Below are 24,815 nucleotides of genomic sequence, written 5' to 3'. Positions count from 1 at the left end.
ATTCGCACATGGCAGGGGGGGTGGGGAGGAGAGAGAGAGAGAGAACGCAAACTCTATCTTTTGTAATAAGGGCTTAGTCCCATTCATTCATAAAGTCGCTACCATCATATCTTAATAACTTCCCAAAGGCCCCACCTGAAAATATCATCACATTGTAGATTAGGCATCAACATAGGAATTTGGGAAAACACAAATATTCTGTCCATAGCTCCCTCTCTTACCACTATTGTACAGTATTGTATCAGGATCTGAGTAAGCACAATGTCCAGAAAGGAAATTTTAAAGGGCAAAGGAAAGATAAAAGATAAATTTCTTTTTATAACTTTTATTTTAGGTTCAGGCTTCATTGGAAGGTTTGTTACATAGGTAAACTTGTGTCATGGGAGTTTGTTATGCAGATTATTTCATCACCCAGGTATTAAGCCTAGCACCCACTAATTTTGCTGATCCTCTCCCTCCCCCCAGACTCTCCACCCTTCCATAGACCCCAGTGTGTGTTGTTCCTCTCTTTGTGTCCATGTGTTCTCATCATTTAGCTCCCACTTATAAGTGAGAACATGCAGTATTTGGTTTTCTGTTCCTTTGTTACTTTGCTAAGGATAATGGCCTCCAGCTCCATCCAATTAGTACAACCATTGTTGAGGACAGTATGACAATTCCTCAGATCTAAACACAGAAATACTCTTTGACCCAGCAATCTCATTACTGAGTATACACCTAAAGAAATATAAATCATCTGTCATAAAGACACATGCACATGTATGTTCATTGCAACACTATTCACAATAGTAAAGACATGGAATCAACCTAAAAAATCTATTTTGATTTACCTGTAGTAATTTCTAATTATTACATGATTGCTTAAATATAACCCCAAATAACTTACACATGAATTACTATAATTAATTATAACATTTACTAAGGTTACAAGATTCAGGGTGAATATATATAAATTCACTGTATTTCCATAATATGCTTGCAGGGAACAATAGAAAATTGAATTGATGAAATATTTGATAAATCTAACAAAATTGATAAGCATGCTGAAAATAACAGAACATTGATAAGATAAATTAAAGAGCTAAGTAAATGGGGAGATATATTTTGTTTATGAAGCATATCTAATAAGATTTTTAAGACGGCAGTTATTCTAAATTAATCTGTAGATTAAATTGCATTTTCATGCAGACCTTAGCTGGCTCTTTTACAAAAATTGACAAACTAATACTAAAATTTAGCATAAAAAAATGTAGAAGACCTAGAAGAGGCAAAATAAGTGCGACAATAAAGGAAAAATGAAATAGACACTATCTATCTTAAGTCTTACCGTAAGCAAATAATAGTTAAGACAATTTGGCTTTATTGTAAAGATTGACAGAAAGATCAATGAAACAGATTAGAACATGCTAAAATCGACACATACACACTAATTGTTTTTTGAAAAAAAAGGTATTTCAATGGAAAATATTATTATTTTTAACAAATAGTACCTGAACTTTTGGACATACATATTCAACAATGAACCTTGATAACTTTTACCCTATACCATACACAAATATTAACTAAAAATGGATCATAGACCGAAATGTTAAAAGCTAATACTGTATAACATCTAGAGGAATATATATGAAGGTATCTGTAAGACGGGGTAGAATAATAATGAAAGCTATATAAGAAAATAAATATATATACACATATGTATATATAATACATAGTTTTAGAAACTGATTTTACTCATGAAACTATGACCACAATAAAGATAATGAATATGTCAGTCACTCCTTAATGTTTCCTGATTCCCATTTATAATCTCTTTGGACATCTTCCCCTTATCCCCAAACAGTGATTTGCTCTCTGTCATTGTAGATGAGATTGCGTTTTCCATAATTTTATATAAATGAAATAAGAAAATAGGTACCATTTTCTCATCTTGACTCCTTTCACTCATTAACATAGGTTAGAGACTCAGCAATGTTATTTTCACTATTTTAACAAAGTTTTTAAAGATCATGTATTAATACTTCATTGTCTTTTATTGTTGAGTATTATTTCATATGAATATACCACAGTTAGTTTGTTTATTCCTTCACCAGTTGATGGACAGTTGGTTTGTTTCCATCTTTTAGGTATTTGTGAATAAAGTTGCTATGAACGTTTATGTATATGTTTTTGTGAGAATAAATATGCTTTCATTTATTTTTCTAGTTGAAATGCCTTGGAGCAGAATGACTACTATATGCTATTTAAATTTTTTTAAATGCCAAACTGTTTTTCAAAGTAGTTGTGCCATTTTACTTTTTCACCAGCAGTATACGAGAGCTCTGATTACTTCACATCATTGCCAACACTTGGTATGGTTAATCCTTTTTCATTTTAGTTGTTCTATTGGTTCATAGTAATGGCACTTCATTATGGTTTTAAATTGAATTTTCTTTTTTGTAAACTCATATTTTAGGTGCAGAGATACATGTGCAGTTTGGTTATATAGAGAGACTCGTGTCCCTGGGGTTCGTTATACAGATAATTTTGGCACCAAGGTACTAGGCCTAGTACCCAATAGTTTTTTTTTTTTTCTGATTTTCTCCCTCCTCTTCACTCTCCAAGCTCAAGTGGACCTCAGTGTCTGTTGTTCCCCTCTTTGTGTCCATGTGTTCCCATCATTTAGCCATTTGGCTCATACTTATTAATGAGAACATGCAGTATTTGGTTTGGTGTTACTGCATTCGTTTGCTAAAAATAATGGCCTCCAGTTTCATTCACGTTCCTGCAAAGGACATAATCTGGATTTTTTATGGCTGCATAGTATTCCTTCATGTATGTGTACCACATTTTCTTTTTTTTAAATTATACTTTAAGTTCTAGGGTACATGTGCACAACGTGCATGTTTGTTACATATGTATACATGTGCCATGTCGGTGTGCTGCACCCATTAACTCGACATTTACATTAGGTATATCTCCTAATGCTATCCCTCCCCCCACCCGACGACAGGCCCTGGTGTGTGATGTTCCCCTTCCTGTGTCCATGTGTTCCCATTGTTCAATTCCCACCTATGAGTGAGAACATGTGGTGTTTGGTTTTTTGTCCTTGCAATAGTTTGCTGAGAATGATGGTTTCCAACTTCATCCATGTTCCTACGAAGGACATGAACACATCTTTTTTTATGGCTGCATAGTATTCCCATGGTGTATATGTGCCACATTTTCTTAATCCAGTCTAGCACTGATGGACATTTGGGTTGGTTCCAAGTCTTTGCTATTGCGAATAGTGCCGCAATAAATATATGTGTGCATGTGTCTTTATAGCAGCATGATTTATAATCCTCTGGTTATATACCCAATAATGGGATGGCTGGGTCAAATGGTAGTTCAAGTTCTATATCCTTGAGGAATTGCCACAGTGTCTTCCACAATGGTTGAACTAGTTTACAGTCCCACCAACAGTGTAAAAGTGTTCCTATTTCTCCACATCCTCTCCAGCACCTGTTGTTTCCTGACTTTTTAATGATCGCCATTCTAACTGGTGTGAGATAGTATCTCATTGTGGTTTTGATTTGCATTTCTCTGATGGCCAGTGATGATGAGCATTTTTTCATGTGTCTGTTGGCTGCATAAATGTCTTCTTTTGAGAAGTGTCCATATCCTTTGCCTACTTTTTTATGGGGTTGTTTTTTTCTTGTAAATTTGTTTGTGTTCTTTGTAGATTCTGGATATTAGCCCTTTTCAGATGAGTAGATTGCAAAAATTTTCTCCCATTCTGTAGGTTTCCTGTTCACTCTGATGGTAGTTTCTTTTGCTGTGCAGAAGCTCTTTAGTTTAATTAGTCAGTTTTGGCTTCTGTTGCCATTGCTTTTGGTGTTTTAGACATGAAGTCCTTGCCCATGCCTATGTCCTCAATGGTATTGTCTAGGTTTTCTTCTAGGATTTTTATGGTTTTAGGTATAACATTTAAGTCTTTAATCCATCTTGAATTGATTTTTGTATAAGGTGTAAGGAAGGGATCCAGTTTCAGCTTTCTACATATGGCTAGCCAGTTTTCCCAGCACCATTTATTAAATAGGGAATCCTTTCCCCATTGCTTGTTTTTGTCAGGTTTGTCAAAGATCAGATGGTTGTAAATGTGTGGTATTATTTCTGAGGGCTCTGTTCTGTTCCATTCGTCTATATCTCTGTTTTGGTACCAGTACCATGCTGTTTTGGTTACTATAGCCTGGTAGTATAGTTTGAAATCAGGTAGCATGATGCATCCAGCCTTGTTCTTTTGGCTTAGGATTGTCTTGGCAATGTGGGCCCTTTTTTGGTTCCATATGAACTTTAAAGTAGTTTTTTCCAATTCTGTTGAAGAAAGTCATTGGTAGTTTGATGGGGATGGCATTGAATCTACAAATTACCTTGGGCAGTATGGCCATTTTCACGATATTGATTCTTCCTATCCATGAGCATGGAATGTTCTTCCATTTGTTTGTGTCCTCTTTTATTTCGTTGAGCAGTGGTTCGTAGTTCTACTTGAAGATCGTTCTCCTTGAAGAGGTCCTTTACATCCCTTGTAAGTTGGATTCCTAGGTATTTTATTCTCTTTGAAGCAATTGTGAATGGGAGTTCACTCATGATTTGGCTCTCTGTTTGTCTGTTATTGGTGTATAAGAATGCTTGTGATTTTTGCACAATGGTTTCGTATCCTGAGACTTTGCTGAAGTTGCTTTCCAGTTTAAGGAGATTTTGGGCTGAGACGACGGGGTCTTCTAGATGTACAATCATGTCATCTGCAAACAGGGACAATTTGACTTCCTCTTTTCCCAATTGAATACCCTTTATTTCTTTCTGCTGCCTGATTGCCCTGGCCAGAACTTCCAACACTATGTTGAATAGGAGTGGTGAGAGAGGGCATCCCTATCTTGTGCCAGTTTTCGAGGGGAATGCTTCCAGTTTTTGCCCATTCAGTATGATATTGACTGTGGGTTTGTCATAAATAGCTCTTATTATTTTGAGATACGTCCCATCAATACCTAATTTATTGAGAGTTTTTAGCACGAAGGGCTGATGAATTTTGTCGAAGGCTTTTCTGCATCTATTGAGATAATCATGTGGTTTTTGTCTTTGGTTCTGTTTATATGCTGGATTACGTTTATTGATTTTCATATGTTGAAGCAGCCTTGGATCCCAGGGATGAAGCCCACTTGATCATGGTGGATAAGCTTTTTGATGTGCTGCAGGATTCATTTTGCCAGTATTTTATTGAGGATCGTTGCAACGATGTTCATCAGGGATATTGGTCTAAAATTCTCTTTTTTGGTTGTGTCTCTGCCAGGCTTTGGTATCAGGATGATGCTCACCTCATAAAATGAGTTAGGGAGGATTCCCTCTTTTTCTATTGATTGGAATAGTTTCAGAAGGAATGGTACCAGCTCCTCCTTGGTGTACCACATTTTCTTTATCCATTCTGCCATTTACAAGCTTTTAGGTTGATTCCATGTCTTTACTATTGTAAATAGTGCTGCAATGAACATATGCATACATGTGTCTTTATAGTGGAATAATTTATATACCTTTGGGTGTATACCAAGTAATGAGATTGCTGGGTCAAATGGTAGTTCTGTTTTTAGCTCTTTGAGGAATCACCACACTGCTGTCCACAATGACTGAACTAGTTTGCATTCCCACCAACAGTGTATACACATTTCCTTTTCTAAGCATCTATGCCAGCATGTTATTTTTTGACTTTGTACTAATAGCCATTTGGACTGGTATGAGATGTTTTCTCATTTCTCTAACGATCAGTGTTATTGAACTATTTTTCATATGCTTGTATACTGCAAGTATATCTTCTTTTGAAAAGTTTCGATGTCCTTTACAGTAACCCAAACAGCATGATACTGGTGCAAAAACAGGCACATAGACCCATGGAAAAAAAGAGAGATTTCAGAAATAAGGCTGCACACCTATAACCATCTGACCTCTGACAAAGCTGATAAAAACAAGTAATGGGGAAAGGACTCCCTATTAAATAAATGATGCTGGGATAACTGGCTAGCATATGCAGAAGATTGAAACCGGACCCCTTCCTTACAGTATATACAAAAAAATCAATTCAAGATGAATTAAAGACTTAAATGTAAAACCAAAAACTATAAAAACTCTGAAAGACAATCTAGATAATACCATTGTTGACATAGAAACTGGCAAAGATTTTCTAGATAATACCATTGTTGACATAGAAACTGGCAAAGATTTCATGATAAAGATGCCAAAAGCAATACAACAAAAGCAAAAATTGACAAATGGAACACAATTTAACTTAGTTTCTTTTGCTGTGCAGAAACTCTTATCAACAGAGCAAACAGACAACCTATAGAATGGGAGAAAATATTTGCAAGATATGCATCTGACAAAGTTCTGACATCCAACATCTATAAGGAGCTTGAACAAATTCATAAGGAAAAAACAAACAACCCCATTGAATTTTCTGATGACTAATAATGCTGAACACATTTTCATGTGCGTATTTTCCATTGATATATCTTCTTTAGTGAGGTCTTTATTTTTCCAATCATTTGCCATTTTAAAAATTAGATAGTTTGTTGTCTTGAGTTGTGAAAGTTTTTATGTATTCTGATATGTCTTTTTCAGGTACAAGGTTTGCAAATTTGAGATTCCTTTTAGTCTCTCCATATTGCATGTTTCCTACTAAAATAAAGTTGCAACTAAAGAGATTGAACTACTGAATACAAACTAACAAATGCATGATTTTAAGATTTTTAAAAGACAATTATATGATAAGTTAGAGTAAATGGCTATTACTGAATTAGTTGCTTAAAGAAATTGAGTAAAAAAACTCTCAACATACCAAAAAAAGGTAATATTGCAAAAAACTATAGAAAGAGATTTCTCTAACCTTAAGCAAGACGTTATACTGTCAAATTGAAGCTTTAATTGTGGTCTAGACAGCACTTATTTTAAAAGACTTTAGCATACCTTGTACAATTGTTGGAATCTCAAGACAAGGAAACAAAAAATCTCTCTGACAGAAAGATAAAGTGTATGGCTTTTCTGCACTTCAGCTTAATGATGTAATCTATTATGGCAATACATTTTCTGATATGGAAAAATTAACACATTCCTAGAATAATTTCTATCCTTTTTATACTTTGCTAGGTACTATTTTCTAATGTTTTATTTAAAAATTACACATCTATTTTTTCAATGGGTATTCTTTCTCTGTTTTCTTTCTCCATCTTATTCATGTTTTAGTATTTAGAAATAGGTAACTGCCTAAAACAAACAAACAAAAAAAACTTTTATCTTTTTTTATCATTTTTCTTTTCTTTTTATTTATTTAGTTAGTTAGTTAGTTAGTTATTTTTGAGACAGACTGTCACTCTGTCACCCTGGCTGGAGTGAGTGCTGTGGTGTGATTTCAGCTCACTGCAACCTCTGCCTCCTGGGTTCAAGTGATTCTCATGCCTCAGCCTCCTGAGTAGCTGGAGTTACAGATGTGCACCACCGCACCCGGCTAATTTTTGTATTTTTAGTAGAGACGGGGAATCACCATGTTGGCAAGGCTGGTCTTGAACTCCTGACCTCAAGTCAAGTCATCCACCCACCTTGGCCTCTTAAAGTGCTGGGATAACAGGCATGAGTCACTGCGCCTGGCTGTCAACTTTTACCTTTTCTGATTAGTTGGAATACTTAAGTTTCAGGATAATTTTTTTTTTTTTTTTTTTTTAGAGATTAGATAAACCTCTTTTATGAAATTATGTTGTCCTGGAGCCTTTATACAAAACACACACACATGCACTCTTTAATCATCACCTTTCCAATCTCTTCTAAAATCATTTGTATATTTATTTTAGTGTGCTTTTCTCTTTTCTTGGATCAATTTTGGGAATGTATACTTTACTAGGATATAATCTAATCTATTGTATTACAGCTTTTGCTAGAATCACCAAGCATGTTGAATCATAGTAAGTATTTTAAATTTGTAAAAAGTCAGTTGTGACTCCAGAATATTTACCATTTGGAAACAGAAGCAGAGAAGATCACAGACAGTTTACATTCAATATGATGAAAAATAAAGAGCCACCATGCTTTGTTCCTTCTCCTAAGGTTTTCAATCCAGTCATAACACCAGCGTTGACTGTTTTTATTCCTAACAGATGCTTGTTATATTCTCAGTTTGATTACAAATTCAGAGGAGGAAAAAACGTGACTTGTCAGCCCTCTTAAACCAAAAGAAAACATTAAAAAGTAATAATAGGGACTATGAAAGAGCAAGAGTACATACAACCTACCTAATATGTATGTCTCTTCATGTCTCTTCAGCACTGTACTGTGTTCAACATCGATGATAAATAAAATTTTCATTTTTCAATTTAAAACTAAATTTAAAATTAATACAATTATCAGTTTATCAATTAAGGTATTTATTAATCAGGCATCTTCACTATCATTAAATAATAGTTTATTAGATAATTATGATTAATAGTTCATTAAGAGGGTTATTTAATGATAATGAATATCTGGTGAGCAATTTCTATTAAGCATCTACCATATGCAGATTTTATGCTTGACTTTAGGGATTCAATGTTGTGTTATTTAACATTACAATCCGTGAACATCTTATGTTCTAGTGCTTGTTACTGTACTATAGGCTATATCAAAGATAAGCCATCAGAGATGATTTAATTTGAATTTCTTTTAAACAAATTAAAAATTAAATTATCTGTACTGTTGCAATACCCGTTTTCCTCAACTTTCTCTTTTCCTTTGCATTCTACATTTATGGGCAGAAATTTGAAAAGAAAAGAAAAATGCTGAGCTCTCATGTTTGAAAAAAAAAAGAGGAATGTTGATTCCTCAAAAACACTATTCATCCGCATAGTCTGTTTGATACACCCAAGAATACTACCAAGAGGCCTCTAGGGGTTAAACTCACTTTTTTGATTGATTAATGTATTAAGATTCAGATCTGGTCCCTTGTTTTCCTGGTGCAGCACACTGATTCATCAGCACATCAAGGGGCATTAATAAATATGTCAGAGGTATCTACACATGAAGCAAGCTCTGAAGACACTTATAAATTCAGAATGGCAAGTGATTAACTCACTATGAGAACTATAATTGTCACAGGAACAACATTTGCACCCCTCATAATCAGTCTATTTTCTCTCTCTAGGTAGACCTACATGAGCTGTCCAGTCATATTCTGAATGTCAACCTATCTTTCCATAAAACATAACTATCATAGGTACCTTACAAACTTCAGGTTTATAAGACGAGGAATTGTATTTGATCTGAAATGCCTAAGTGGACACAGTTCTGCCAATAATGAGCCACATCCACCTTTGAGCAAACAGAAGGGCTGGATGGATCTCCATAATATATAAAAGAAAAGAAAAAATAACTTTTTAATAAAAATAAAAAATAGCACCTGTATTAATCAAGATTCTTCAGTGAAATAGAGCAAATAAAAATTTGTTTTTTTTCCCCCACTGGAAAATACCTTTTGTTTTTCCTTTTCTGAGCATCTCCCTTCCCTTCCTTTCCTTTCACCTTACCTTTCTCCCTTCTTTTCTCCCTCCCTCCCTTCCTTCTTTCCTATTTTAACTGTTGACTGTAGAGATGCGTATTATTTCAATACAGAGCACTCCATCATTTTTCTCCCTAAATGATTCACAGATTCTCTCCTAATGAGATTTCTGTCATGATAGTTGTATTCTCGTTGTTGTTTGTTTTGTTTTATTTATTTTGATTCATTTGGTTTACTTTAATTGTAGCACATTTGTTAGCTTGGATTTATAAACTATTATACGTTGTAAGGACCTGGAGAAAAGCATGGTTCACACAGTGAAATGTTAGAATTTTACATTAATTCCACGCTAGCCCTCTGATGATGAAGCTGCCCTGGGATTCAGAGAACCTTTCTTCTCATAGTATTTATATAATAAACAAACTGCACACATCCCCAAGAATTCATTTCTCACCCAATAAATGAGGGTAATGTTTTCCCAAGTTACCTCAGAGAGTTGATGTGAGCATCTAATACGGAAATAAAAAGAAAACTCTTTGAAAAGAATAAAGCACTTTTGTTATGAGTTTGGGGAATTATTAATTATTGATGTTTATAAGCCTAATTAGGAACTACCCTTTAATAATTTATCTAATTCTATAGATTATGTTTCTTGAAATGCTCTCTCATTCTATCAACAGCTAATATCATTTGTTTTATGACTGAAACAAGAGTGTTTTCCAAAGTGTAATTAAAAATTCTTTCTATGAAGAAAATTTTCTTTGAATATAAATCAACCTTTGAAATCAAGACCCAACATGAGTCATCTCTGTAACAGAACAGGTATTGTTATAAATATGCATTTGAAAATCATATGTAACAAACATTAAAAAACTAAAAATATTCAAAATTTCTCACATTTATACACTAACAATTTATAAATGAAAATTTATCATATGTATTAATGCATGAAAATTATATAGTGTACTTTCTTTTTATATTTTTACAAACATTTTTCTTTGGATGAAATTGATTAATGTCTCAAAGTACCCAACATATCAAAAATGATGCAAAAAGAATTAGAAAATCTACGTATCTATTATAGCAATTGAATTTGTAATTTGAATCTTACCAGAAAAGATATCTTCAGGCCCAGGTAGCTTCTTCATCACAAAATTTTTCCAAATTTTTTAGGAGAAATATATCAGTCTACCAGAAAATATTCTAGAGAATATAGAAAGAGAAAATACTTCAAACTTATTTTGTGAGGTTATCATTAATACAAAAACATAAAATAAATTATAAGAAAGAAAAATTGTGTCATTCATAAAATAGATGTAAATTCTAACCATCTTAGCAAATCAAAGAACTATATTAAAAAGGATAATATATCATATTCATGTTAGATTTATATTCCAAAACAGTGTTTAACTTCCAAAAATCAATGCAATTCAACATAATAATGTTAAAAAATTGTATGATCATTTTGCTACATTCAGCAGGTGCAGTGCACAGAAATCAGTCCCATTCATTTTACTTTAGCATGTTGCAGCCATTGGAGAATCTTCTACAGAAAGCCAGGATGATTTTGCAGCTTACCTCATGAGTTCTCCTTCTTTCAGTTGTCACATTCTTCTATTGGATATTGTACAATGCCTGGATGTATTGTTTTCTTATATTTTACTCAGGTTATTAGACCAGAAAAAGATCAGCGCCCCACTTTGGTAGTTGGGCAGTTTTTAAAAATTATTATAATTATTAAAATAGAATTTTTTTAACATCTTAAATTTGTGATAGCTTCACCAACAATGTATCCTCCTCCAATTTCTCATATATATGAATGCTAACTACATTCCAGTGCATTATAGAGCTTTCTAAAATATGATATATTGCAAAAATATATCATTCGAACATAAGAAAACTATGTTCTTTAAATAGTAGGTGAATATGACTTTCTGAAACTTGTTCATTAATGCCCACAATCTAGTGTGGCAGAATACTATATAATTAATGAGAACCAACTTCAGAAAAAGTAAAATAGTTAAATAAGCTGTAATGCAAATTTTTACATACCTTTATTCAAGTAAGCACATTGACAATTATGTGCTTCTGTTCATGATTTGAAGACAGAACTATGTTTTCATGTTTCTATGTGATAAGTGGGGAATGATTTGCATTCTATTTTTATGAATGCAAATCAAATTGTCTATATATGTAAGAAAGTATTACTGCAACTATTGACAGCATTGAATCCTAATTTACACTTCCTAAATACTGTAATGTTAGGCAATCATTTCAAGAGTTAGCAGCTGCAAAATCTATAGTTTGTAAAACTTCCAGCCATAAATATAACTGTATTTTGTAGAATAGGTGATAAAAAGAGAGCATTTTTATCCAGAACTTTATTTCTTACACTCTCTTTCAAACAAGTAATCTTCCAAGTGCTGAGTCAGCAGAAAAATTATTTTAGTAAATTATATACAGTGCATTAAATTTCACTGCCTTTAAATCTAATTCAAATATTTATGTATATTCTCTCTACAATATCCAGTTACATGGCAGTATAAATTTTCCATAATCATATTATGTCTCTGAGCTTGCTTTGGTGGATCTGTGTAAAAAAATCTTTGTTGTATTTTTTATCATCATACCTTATGTGAAGTATACTGTTTTCAAGAGACTGTAGGATTTTATAATATCTAAACCATCAGTTTTTCTATTATCTCAAAATACACAAAATGGCATTTCCTGCAGTCATAAGTAGGCCCAAACTTCCTACTTTAGCCCCAGAGGATGCAAGCCAGTTTGGATGAATTAACTGTGAGTTGGGAGAGCACCATGGTTAATGACCAGAAAATATATCACAAGCGAGGAAAATATACATTACCCAGGTTGCAAACACCTCCATCTCATGGGCATTGACTTGCAAAGTCAACTTAAACCTCTGGGAATTTGAGATGAGGTCTCGTTTGTTTGCTTCTCTGGAGAAAAATTGGTTTCTTATTTACAATAAAATGGGTACCAAAGGGATTATATAGAATAAGCCAAAGCACTTCAGGGATTCAAAATTGCTTTTCCACAGCAACATTTTGGAGACTTGAATGTAACTGCTAATCAAACTCCAGATACATACATATATATGTGTATACACACACACACACACACACACACACGTGCACATATATATGGAAGGACCACTCGAGAGAGAGAGAGATACACACACACACACACACACACATATGTGTGTGTGTGTGTGTGTATATGTGTGTACATATATATGTGTGTTTGTATATATATATATTCTATATGGCAGGACCACTCATTAACTTAATAGTAGGGAAAAATCTCAGACTCTTCCCAGTTGTTGACACTGATGTAATTCTAATGCTTATGAGAGTGTATGTATGACCCATGAGGGTACTAAATAAATATTTGTTGTTAATAATTAGAGAATGAATAAGAAATGAACTACAGCATATATATATATATATATACACACATATATATATTGTTTTTCTATCATCTCTAATGATCACTAAATATCAAAAATGATGGTTTACAGAGGCTTTCTCTTCTACACTATTCTTATCATTCTCATGTGAAGACTTAAACCACAATAAACAAAATTAGAAATATGTTTCATTTTAAGTGAAACATACGTCTTTCTCCCAATGAAATTAATTAGGATAAAAGTGAGTGAAAAATGTAATATTCAGGGAAATTATTTGTAATTATTTGCATATATTACTTCTTTTCTTGGCCTACCCTAACCAACCCAAATTTAAACTACACTCTCAAATACTCCCAATCTCCTTTATCCACTGTTTTTTTTTTTCCTTAGCATTGATTACCTGTAATCTAATAAAAACCTTTTTAAAAAATGTGTTATATTTACTGGGTGTTTTTCCTTAAAATGTAAGCTTCACAAGAAATGTTTGTCCATCTGTCTATTGAGAAACAGTTCTCCATGAGTCATTTTGATTTGTGTACATCTTATAAGTAGAGGCACTACAGCCTTTTCTTCTCTACTCCCTTTTCAAGGATATGTGCATAGCAAACATTCTTGGAAGAAATCATAGATTGTCCCTTCCTTCAAAACAGAGGACAAGTTTCTTTCCTTCCCAGTATAATAAATAAATATAATATATCCCTTCATGGCCAAAGTTGGGTGTATTTACTTGCATACCATTATGAAAGATTAGGGTTAATCTTTCATAATGGTATGCAGTCTTCTTAAAATTGCATAATGGTGTGCAATCTTCTTAAACTTGGGGTTCCTCAGCAGTGATGCAAACTTACTGTGTGCACAGCATCCTCCAAAGTCATTCTGTGTCACTCTGTATGACTTAAAAGGCAATTGAAACTGGAACCAACATGAAGGTCATATTGTCCGTTGTGCCATGAGTAATAACTTCTTTTGCCTCTGCCCCAGAAGTCTTGCTTTCTCTGTCAGCGCCTATGAAACCGCGGCAGGAAAACTTGCTAACTTAATAGTAGGGAAAAATCTCAGACTCTTCTCAGTTGTTGACACTGATGTAACTCTAATGCTTATGGAAGTGTATGTATGGCCCATTGAGGGTACTAAATAAATACTTGTTGTTAGTAAATATGTGAATGAATATGAAATGGACTACAGCATTTATGAGAATAAGTGATAATATTTCTGAAATGATAGACCTTGACAACTGTAATTTTTTGAACTAAAATGAAATATAGATGTCAACATGATTGTGATATTATAATGGTTAAGAGTTTGGCTCTTACATCAAGTAAACATAGCTCAGTCGCACCTATTACTCACTGTGTAACCTAGAACAAGACGTTTCAATCTTAATTTCTCATTTGTAAATTAGAAGAAATAATTGTATAATACATGTACTGTTGTTGAGTTAGATGGGATAATAAACTGAGTTTATTACTGAAGTTGTATTATTATTTTGTTCAGATTCCTTTCTGAATTATCCTTATTCAAACACAATAGTATGACTTGTAGAGCCCATAAATAACTCACACAATATGTAATCTGCCCCCCTTTTTTTGTCTCCCAGGTGCCAAAACACTCTATTACATGCTCCAGGTTCGTAAAACTTTGAATCTATAGCTTGATATCTTTCATCCTTCTAAAAACATTCTCACCCATTATCTCTTCAAATACTGATTCTGCTTTGTTCCCTTCTATTCTCTTTCCTCTATTCTCTTTTTCTCTTCTCTTTTCCTCTCCCCTCTTCTTCCCTCCTTTCTTTTCTTTTCTCTTCCTCTCCTCCTCCTTGCCCTTTTTCTTCTTGTCTTTCACATCTGAGGTCATACTCTAGAACTCCAATCACATGTATGGTAGAATTCTAAAATATTATATACCCTAGGCATCTTATAATCTTTACTGTGTTTTGTTTTACCATTTTATCTCTTAATGCTTCATTCCTCATATTTTCTAATAACCTATCTTCCAGTTCCTTCTTCACGTGCATCTAACAACTGTTAAACCTCTTGAGATCTTAAATTTTATTATTATTACATTTTTCAGTTCAGTAATCTTTATAGTTTCCCATTCTCTGGCAAGGCTATTAACATTTCCTTTTATTTCTATCAGCATATTAATCACATTAATTTTAAAGTGTCTGTCTGATAATCCTTTAACGATCCTGATGATTTGTGATTTGTGTGTTTTCTTGGATTTTGGTCACATACCTTATCCTCATATGCCTGATAATTTTTGTTTCAGTGATAGGCATTGCATATTTTAAATTTAGGGAAAAAATAACTAGAGACTAAGTATACTCTTATCTTTCTTCAGAAAAAAATTTATATTTACTTCTAGCAGATGGCTAGAGACACTAGCCACTTGGATCACATGAATCTAAATTTAGGAAATAAAATAATGCAAAGTTATGCTTCAGTCCTTGAGGGTAGTTCTACTTGTGTCTCTTTTTTAATTCTATAATGTATTTCTATGGGGACCCTGCCCAAAGTACTAGGGAATTTTTTGGTCACCTTCTCCCTAAATGGCCTTCAACTCTAACTTTTGTTCTGTTAGGCCTAAAAGACAGTCAACATTCCTTTCCTTCTTGTTGACCTCACAGATATTCTTCTGCAATGCCTTAGGGGCAATGTGGTCCCAAATACTAAAAATGATAGATATCTTTCTCTTACATCACAGTCCTTTAATTTTCCACTACTGTTAGCTTTCCAGGGCCTTCACTGGATATATAAAATCTCCTAGCTGTCAGAGCTATTTTCAGTAGATGAATTGCCACTACTGGAAGCCCAATGCACTCTACATTTTTTAAATTACATCTCACTCACTTCACTTACTCTTTTATATAAAACTACACAGACCAGCAACACTTTAAAAGCCATTTATGCCTGAGGTTGCAATTTTTTGATTTTTTGCATGAGTGAAAAAATCAGATTTTGGCGATGACCTTGAGCAGTAGGCTATAAATAACTTCCACATGCTTAGTATTTCAATAATGGAACATTAGGCATAAGTGGGTTAAATTAGATGACATTACTTAAAGTATAAATTACTTACATGAGATTATACATTTCTGAGTTGCCTACTATACCATCTGGAACTGTATTTGTTAGGTATCTCATTATATGCAAAGGATAAAAGTATAAAAACTTTGAAAAATATATGTTACAATTGTAAATTTTTTAGATTCAAACCTATAATCTTGAGAGAACAGAAACCCTTGGGAATAGAATAAATAGTGATCAAGTTAAAGAAGAGGGAAAGAAAGATCAATTTCTAGGTCTCCAATAGATGAAAGAAATGTTGCACTGAAGTCAGCCTTAAAACTTTAGGTAACCCTGAGTAATTCAGATGAGATAAATATGTGATAGTCTTAAAACAATTTTTTTTTTTTGCAAATCATGGAGAGAGGCGAAAAAAAGAGAGAGAAAGAAGTAAGAGAGAGAGAAAGAGAATAAGAGTGCTATGAGTTGTACAAACACAGATGATTATCAGTTCTGGGGAACAACACAGAAAGAAATACGGCAGGCAAAGTTGGACCACTTGTCTGTTCTGCCTAGAGCCAGCAGCTTTGCTCATACCTGAACTATTATGCTCAGAGGAGATAACGAACACTGTTTCCAGTAAATTTGCCTGTGGATACAAACTGACAGAGCAGTGTAATAGATAAATCTCCATCTCATATAAAGTCAGTGTCTCTCCAGAAGATTTTCTTATGGTTTCAGGAATATTATTTCATTTTATTAGAGTTAAAAGTTAACTTAACAGTCTTTAAATCATAGTTTGCTTTTCAGGCCACTGACCAGGACTCTTTGCCCTAATTACAAGCAAAAATAAGCAATTCTATTCAGCTCACTGACTAAATTATTTAACAACCAAAGGAGAGAATTTCTCTTATTATAAATGATATCCAAGTTGCTGTCCCAATTCTAGACTCATTTTTTTAATATTGGTGAAGAATAGTTTCTTTTTCAGTAAACTCTGGGAGAAATTATATTTTAATTTTCAATTATGTTTTAAAATGTATTCCTTAACTAAATTTTTTTTAATGAACTTGGCTAAATTTAGATAAACGATGTCTTTTAAATTGCAACACCTCATACTTGTGATAGGTTATTCTCTTTAGATGTTTGATATCTTATTTAGACATATTGATTTTTATTCTATCAATTTCTTTTCATGAGTTATTACATTAAACAAATTTTCCTAAGGAAACTTTCAAAAAATTGGAGAACTTTTTTTAATTAAGAAAAATATCTTGTATGCATATTGTACATACATACTGTTGAATTTTATCTCAAGTTCTGCATCTAGAGTATTCGATGATAATATCACCTTCTGTTTAATTTGTACAGCATGACTGCACATTTGTTGATCTGCTTAAGACAAGCAGCTAATTACACCCAAGGCATAGATTTGATTTCCTTATAGGCTAATTCTCAAAAGGAGTGCCTTCTTTAAATGCTCCATGTGTCTGCCTCTTTTATTTTTCTCTCTCTTTATATTTTCTTCTTTTTAATCTTATAGTAGTTTATTTGTTCTTTCCCGCCCTCCCTTACTTTCCTTCTTTCCTCTGCATAGATTTCATAAGATTCCTGTAATGTGTGAGACATATTAATGAATTTTAAAATATTCAGATACATAAGGCAATAATAATACAAATTGAGGTACAATGATTTTTTCTTCCATTCTAACTACTTTTGTTTTATTACATTTCATCTTTCTAATTGCAGAATATATATATAATATATATATGTAAGTGATAGCCCTTCCTTACCCACAAGGGATACGTTACAAGACCCCTAGCAAATGCTATGCTGTTTCCTATACATATATGCCTCTGATAAAGTTTATTAGTCACAATAAGACATTAATAGCAATAACTACAAATAGATAATATTTAGTTACATAAAAGACTATAAAAACAATTGTTATAAAAAATTATAACTATGCAGTGATAAATGTTATGTAAATGTCATCTCTCTCATCTACTAACAGGTGGATAGCATGTACAGTATGAATACACTGAAGAAAGGGATGATTCATATTCTAGACAGGACAAAGCTGAATAACGTGAGATTTCATCATACTACTCAGAACAACATGCAATTTAAAACTTATGAATTGCTTGTTTCTGGAATTTTCCACTTAATCTTTTAGGACTACATTTGCTTTTTAAACATACTTATTTTTCAACATTTGTTTTGGACTTAGGGTTACAAAATTTTATGGACTAAGGGGTACAAGTGTTGTTGTGTTACATGAGTCATTGTGTAGTGGTGAGTCTGGACTTTGTTTTTGTGTGTGCATTGTTATTTTTTTGAGACAAGGTCATTCTGTTACCCAGACTGGAGTATAGTGGCGTGATTGTACCAAATTAATAATACTTCATCCCTCACCCCCCTCTCACCTGCCCACCTTTTGGAGTCTCCAATGTCTCTTATTCCAGTCTGTGTATTGGACCACATTTGACTTCAGGTAACTGAAACTGTGGGTAAGAGGAAAGTACTGTATTATGATAAATATAATATATATACATCTATGTTTTATAACATACTGAATATAGTATATAGAATCATGCTTTTTGCACATCCACTTTTATAGTTAAATAGTTACACATTTGCCTGACATTAGAGTGACTTATTTGACATATACAAATACAGTCCAATGTGTCTCAAATCATTTAGAATAGATTGATTACTAGGAACAAATATGAATATGCTTCCACATCTGTGTTACTGAGTCCTAAATCGGGAAACAATAAACGTTTTCCTAATATCTGACTCTATAAAGAAAAGTCTTGTTAAGTTATATATATTATTACGTCACCTTACATATCTACTAGTAAATGACCTTTGCAGACAAAAATACAAGGCAAATGAGGAAAACCTTGGAAATTTGAATCGATGACACTGTCAAGTCAGGTAAATATTTGAGATGTTTATTCAACCATAAACTCATCGGCTACGTAAGTAGATGCTGAGTATGACTGCTCAGTAAAATACAGCTTCTTACTGAACACATTTTTAACTTTCCTATCCATGAATATGCAGTAAAAAAATTGACTCTCAAGATACTCCCCTTATGCTATATTTTCCATTGGCCAAATTCAGTGTGTTTCAAAAATAGGCATGTTTGGCATGCACTCTACTGTGAGCAGATTGGTGGACTGTAAAATAGAGCAAGTTTCATGGACTGCTGTATTTTCAGTCTTGGTAAAACAGAGACAGTTTTTCAAATACATGAATAATATACATAACTATCGTTTTTGTCCTTCTTGAGTATATGACCTAAATGTCATGTAGTTAGTTGATTAAAATATCCCTGTCTGGACTATGCATCAAAATTTGTTAAAGAAGTAATGAAAATAGAGAAAAATAGTAGTCAGTTTTTGACATTCAAAATCAAATTTGCAATAACATTGTAGTCAAGCTGTTGATTTGAGAAAGTGCATATCAGTAATCTATCCTAGTCTTCAAATTATAGCTTTTTTTAATGCTTATTTAAAGGTATCTATTTTTCTATTAAAGCTTAGCCAGAAAATTAGCCAGAGCCAAGGAAAAGAAAATTTGAGTCAGGGGGAAAGAGAATTTGAAGCACAAGAAACTCTCCCTTTCTGACTCCGGAGAATTGTGAGAATGAAGAGAGAGGTATTGGCAGTGCTTCTTATTCCACTGAGCACAGAACTACCTTGTCCCAATCCAGGAAATATCCACATAAAAAGGTAAGTTTCTTCCTTTTTCTCCCAGAAAAGTTGGTGTGGGGAGTGGGGCAGGGAGAAGAAAAACAGGTAATTATGGGAAAAACATGATTATTATTTTCTCAATTAACCATACCCAGAGGAATCATGATATATTAGATTGGGAAGTTGCTACTTTGTGGTAACATATATCTACTTCTTTCACAGCCTTAAAAAAAAAAGAAAAAAAGGTTTTTTTGTTAGTCTTTTTTGTGTGTGGATTTTTTTTATTTTTTTGTTTGTTTGTTTTCCAGATTGTGATAAGCTGACTGAGTGGGTCTCTGGATGATGTTTGAGGACTTCTGTGATGGAATGAGGAAAAGGGGAGGCTGACATCAACTCAAATATTTCAAAGAAATCACATCTGAGGTGGAACCCACAGCCAATGCAAAATAAAATAGGAAATTACAATTGGAATGGAAAAAAATTAAAATGTGAAGGCAAGTATCTAGGTGGTAAGACTACAAGCTCACATATGTAGTCCAGCATTACTGGTTAGCATCAAGTTTATGATAGCAGAACTTATAAACAATCAATATCCCAAAGCCAATAGACCTGAATTAAGCCTTCATCAGCAACTCTCCCTTCTGTCTTCCAGTTTGATTAAAGCTCTGAGACTGTGTCTGAGCTTTAAAGTTAGAGATCATGTGACTTACATTTAAAATGCACTGCTTTAAATATAGTCCATGTCTTACTCCATTTGGGCTGCTAAACAAAATACCATAAACTGGGTGGCTTATAATAACAGAAATTTATGTATCACAGTTCTGGAGGCTGACAAGTCCAAGACTTAGGAATTGGCAGATTTTGTGTCCCATGAGGGTCTGTTTCCATAGTGGAAGCCTTCTCACTGTGTCCTCACATGGAGGAAAGGATAAGGTAACTCCCTAGGGCCTCTTACATGAGGGCACTGATTCCATCCATGAGGACTTCACCCTTATGACTGAATCACCTCCCAAAAGGCCCAACATCCTGATACTTTCACCTTTGTAATAAGGTTTCAACATATAAATGTGTGCATGTGGGGGCAAGACAGGGGGAACAAATCTTCAAAACATAGCAGCAATGTGGCTTAACTTCCTAAACCAACAATAATTTTCAGAACTCAATTGCACTGAGTAACTATAGAATTATTACAACATCTTCCCTTCAAAAGAATCATTCAAAGACTATATAGCCCCACAAAATTAATACTGCAGTATTTTAAAAACATACCTTTAGAACATTCTAAGTCAGAATTTTGACAGGATTCTCAGGATCCTGAGGATTGTAACGAGGCTGCAGTGGTTGAAAACTATCCAACAAAAATTCTAAAAGTATGGTATCAGAACTAAGCATTAGCTATTCTGAATTCAAAATATATAAAAATAGATGTAAAACAACCATATCATGTTTAATTTCATGCATATGTTTCAGTCATGAAAACAACAGAAATATATTTCAGTTGGGCTATTGTAACTTCTACGGATTCAACCAAATGCAATGCAAATACCATGTTTGTATTATAATAACATATTCCTAATAATGGAAGTATGCAAAAGTGGCCAACATACTCCTTGTCCCTGGGGTCTCACAGCCTAGTGAGACATAATTTAAAATTCATAAATGAGAGATAATGAAAAAAATTAACCTTTTACTCTATTTTCTTGTCTATGATGGACCCTTACCTCCTCTTCAAACATGCTACCTATGTAAGACCAGCATTTACATTAGAAAGCTGAAAAACAGAATGTCTATCAATATGGAGTCACAGAGCTATCACCTAGTTGTTCCTAGCTCCTGTAGATCTTCAGTAAATGAAGCCCTGTTTGACACACATACTTCTTCAGCTCACAGAAAACCAGGGCCCTTACCAAGCCCTCTTATGAAGTCTTTGACTTCCTGTGCCATGTGTTAGCAAGTGTGGGTGTTAACACCAGATGTAATATATATCTCCTTGTTTGAATTTCACACACACAAACTTATAGCATAATTTACAAAATCTATTAATAAACTATGAATTATTGAAAATTTTAGAGAAATATATATAACAACAAAGTTTTATTATGCCACTTGGCTAATTCAACAACAGTCATTTTCAATGTCCTTCAGTTTATTTATTATCACCCTGTCTCAATTTTGATAGCTCCTCTATTTCTCTCTTCCCTTCTTTTAGTTCCTTATCAATTATTTTACTGAAGATACTAAGTATTTGCCAATACCATTTCAGTCTGTCTGTTTTGGGTGTGTGTGATTCTGTGTGTGCATATGTATGTTGTAGTGGTGATATTTGTTTGCGGGGTGTAGTAAACATTTATTTTTAGAATTATTTTGCAGTCACAAGACAACTCAGGTTAAAGTCAGTTTGGGAATTTGGGTAAGTTATATTTTTCTGAAAATTTATACATTTAGTCTTGTATTGTTAAAATTTATTGTCATAGATCTGTCCATAATGTTTTCTTATTGAAATACTTTGAAATACTTTGAGTTATATATTTATAATGTACATAAATCTTAAATATACAACACAATGAATTTTAACTTATGCACATATTCACGTAATTACCACCCAGAACAAGATGAAAAACAAATCCAGTGCCCCATTGGTTTTCAATATGCCACTATTGGGCTGATACCCCTAATAGTAACCACAATTCAGCTTTCTATCTTCATCATCAACTTTGACTAATTTTGAGCTTGATATAAATGAAATCACGTGATGTGTACTTTTTGTGCCTGGTTTAATTTGTTCAATATTAAGTCTGGGAGAAGTACCCATGATGTGTATAGCCATAATTTTAACTTGTAGATAATTTATTATAGAAATACCATAATTTATCTATCCATTTTACCCTTGATAGGCATTTGAGTTGTTTTCAGTGTTTGTATTTTAAGAATAAAACTTCTTTGAATATTCTTCTCCCCATATTTTACTGAAATATGAATTTATATTGTGAGTTTTATTATTGTTTTAATGTCCATGTCATCAAAGAATATCCCTCAATTCTGTTGTTGGTACATAATAGAATCATTTAATTCTATTATTGGTTATAATTAAATTTTTTTGATGGATTTCATCTAAAAGTTGCCAAATTTATTATTTCTTACAGAGAATTAACTTTTTGATATGTTGAGCTACTGTATGTTTGGGTGCATGTGTGTGTGATTCTGTGTGTATGCGTGTGTTTCTTCTCATTAATTTCTGCTCTTTACTATTTACTTCATAACAACATTGGGACAGTGTATTCATTTTACTGTTCATTATGTAAATTCATGATAGTTAAAATGTTAGTGATTAGCCCTTCTTATCTAATTTGGGCATTTCAAGCTAATGTATTACTACATTTTAACGCTTATGGAATGCAGCTAAACCTCAAAATACTGGTTTAGCTGCATTCCACAAGGGTTAAAATGTAGTATAGTATTCCAATTGTTGCATTCAAATTATTTTATAATTTCCATTTGTATTGCATAGTTGAGCCTTGAATTATTTAGAAATATGTTTTGTAAATTCTAGGAGTATCAGACATTTCTAGTTATGCTTTTATTATGGATTTCTAGCTTAACAGTATTGTTGTCAGAGAATACACTCTGATCATTCCAGTCATTTCAAATTTGTTGAAACTTGCTTTGTAACCCAGAATGGAGCCCATTTTAAACACTTACTGTCCATGCATTAAAAGAATGCATAATTTAAACTTTTATGGCTTGATATCCTATAAAACGCTGTTCACTGAAGAGTGCTAAATGTACCGTTGCTTTATAGATTTCTGCCAGCTTTTTCTGTATTTCCTAAGTGTTTTAAAATATCCAAATATGTTAAGAATTTGTCTATATTTCCTTATGTTTTCTTAGTTGTGGCTTTATATATTTTTATACTAGTATATCAATCATTTTAATTATTATACCACATTTTAATGTTTCTTAAATTATGAAATAAATTTTCTATCTCTAATAATGCAATTTGCCTTAAAATTAATTTTGTATCTCCTAATTCTATAAATTTTCTCTTAACTATTCTTCACATTTTTTACCTTTTAACTGTTACTCTTTCTATATTCATTCTTTATGTTCTAAATTATCAAATAAAATAGGTGTACTTTTAAAAACTCCAGACTAAATCCCTTGTAATTTTGTCTGAGCATTTATTCCATTTCCATTTAATATAATAAGTAATATAACTGAATTTGTATCTACCATTTTCCTTTGCATTTTAGAAGTGTCCAGTTCAATCTGTTTTCTTTATTTTCTATTTTCTTAACATTTTTCACTGATGATTTTTTCCTCATCTTTAATTTTTTCTCTCAGGTAGTCATGGAAGTACAATATCGTTTGTTTGGTTATTTATTTATGTATTGGTTTCCTTAGGAATAGTGACATACATAGTTAACATGAATGCCTAAAACTGACATACATCTTTACTTTTCTCCTGAGAGCTAAGACAATCTTAAGTATGTTAATGCTCATGTTTCCCTGCTAACTAACTTACATGCATTCTCTTCTCATGTATTTTAATTCTGTCTCTGGAACCCCTTCTCAAATCATTCAGATTATTTTACGTAGTGGCTAATCATCTTTTATTTACCTACTAATTTTACAACTTACTTTGCTCCTCCTTTCTTCTTTCATGTAAAACTTCTTTTGTGTTAACTACAGAACAATCTTTTAAAATTTAATTCAGTGTGTACTCTTATGAACATTTCTGGTTTTGCTTTTCTGAAATGTCTTCATTTTTCTTCATTTTTGAAAGTATGTTTTGGTGAAAGTAAAATTCTAGATTGGGAACTTTAAACACTTTGGTGTTATCAAAGCTCTGTATTTGAATTTCATCTTTGCTGTTGAGAAATTAACTGATGATCTAATAATCCAACCTCTGGAGATAATCTCTCTTTCACGTCTATCCCTTCTTGTTGACTTTTTTTGTTTGATTTTGCTATTATTTTTAGTAGTTTAAAGTTCATAACGATGTTTCTAGATGCGCATAGCTTTTTATTTATGTTGCTTGATATTCTTACAGTTATTTGAATCAACAGAAGGTATTTGGAAAGATTCATCTCTCTTTTCTAGTTTGTATCTGTCATATTCTTTCTTTCCCATCCTCTTGGAACTACAATTAAATG

At 32.9% G+C, this 24,815-nt stretch overlaps 1 long non-coding RNA gene across 1 annotated transcript in view; it reads right to left on the bottom strand.

The window, feature by feature from the left end:
• Positions 1-24,815, bottom strand: part of DISC1FP1 (DISC1 fusion partner 1) — a 663,821-nt gene that overhangs the window by 51,708 nt on the left and 587,298 nt on the right. Inside the window, exons 5-6 of the long non-coding RNA NR_104190.1 lie at positions 18,396-18,465; positions 10,638-10,729 (exon numbers count right to left, since the gene is read on the bottom strand). This is a non-coding gene — a long non-coding RNA (DISC1 fusion partner 1). The remainder of the gene's footprint in view (positions 1-10,637; positions 10,730-18,395; positions 18,466-24,815) is intronic.

Source organism: Homo sapiens, chromosome 11 (assembly GCF_000001405.40).
Source record: "Homo sapiens chromosome 11, GRCh38.p14 Primary Assembly".
Classification (NCBI taxonomy): Eukaryota; Metazoa; Chordata; class Mammalia; order Primates; family Hominidae; genus Homo; species Homo sapiens.
The sequence above is the reverse complement of the archived record's forward strand: the minus strand, read 5'-3'. Positions and strand labels throughout refer to the sequence as shown.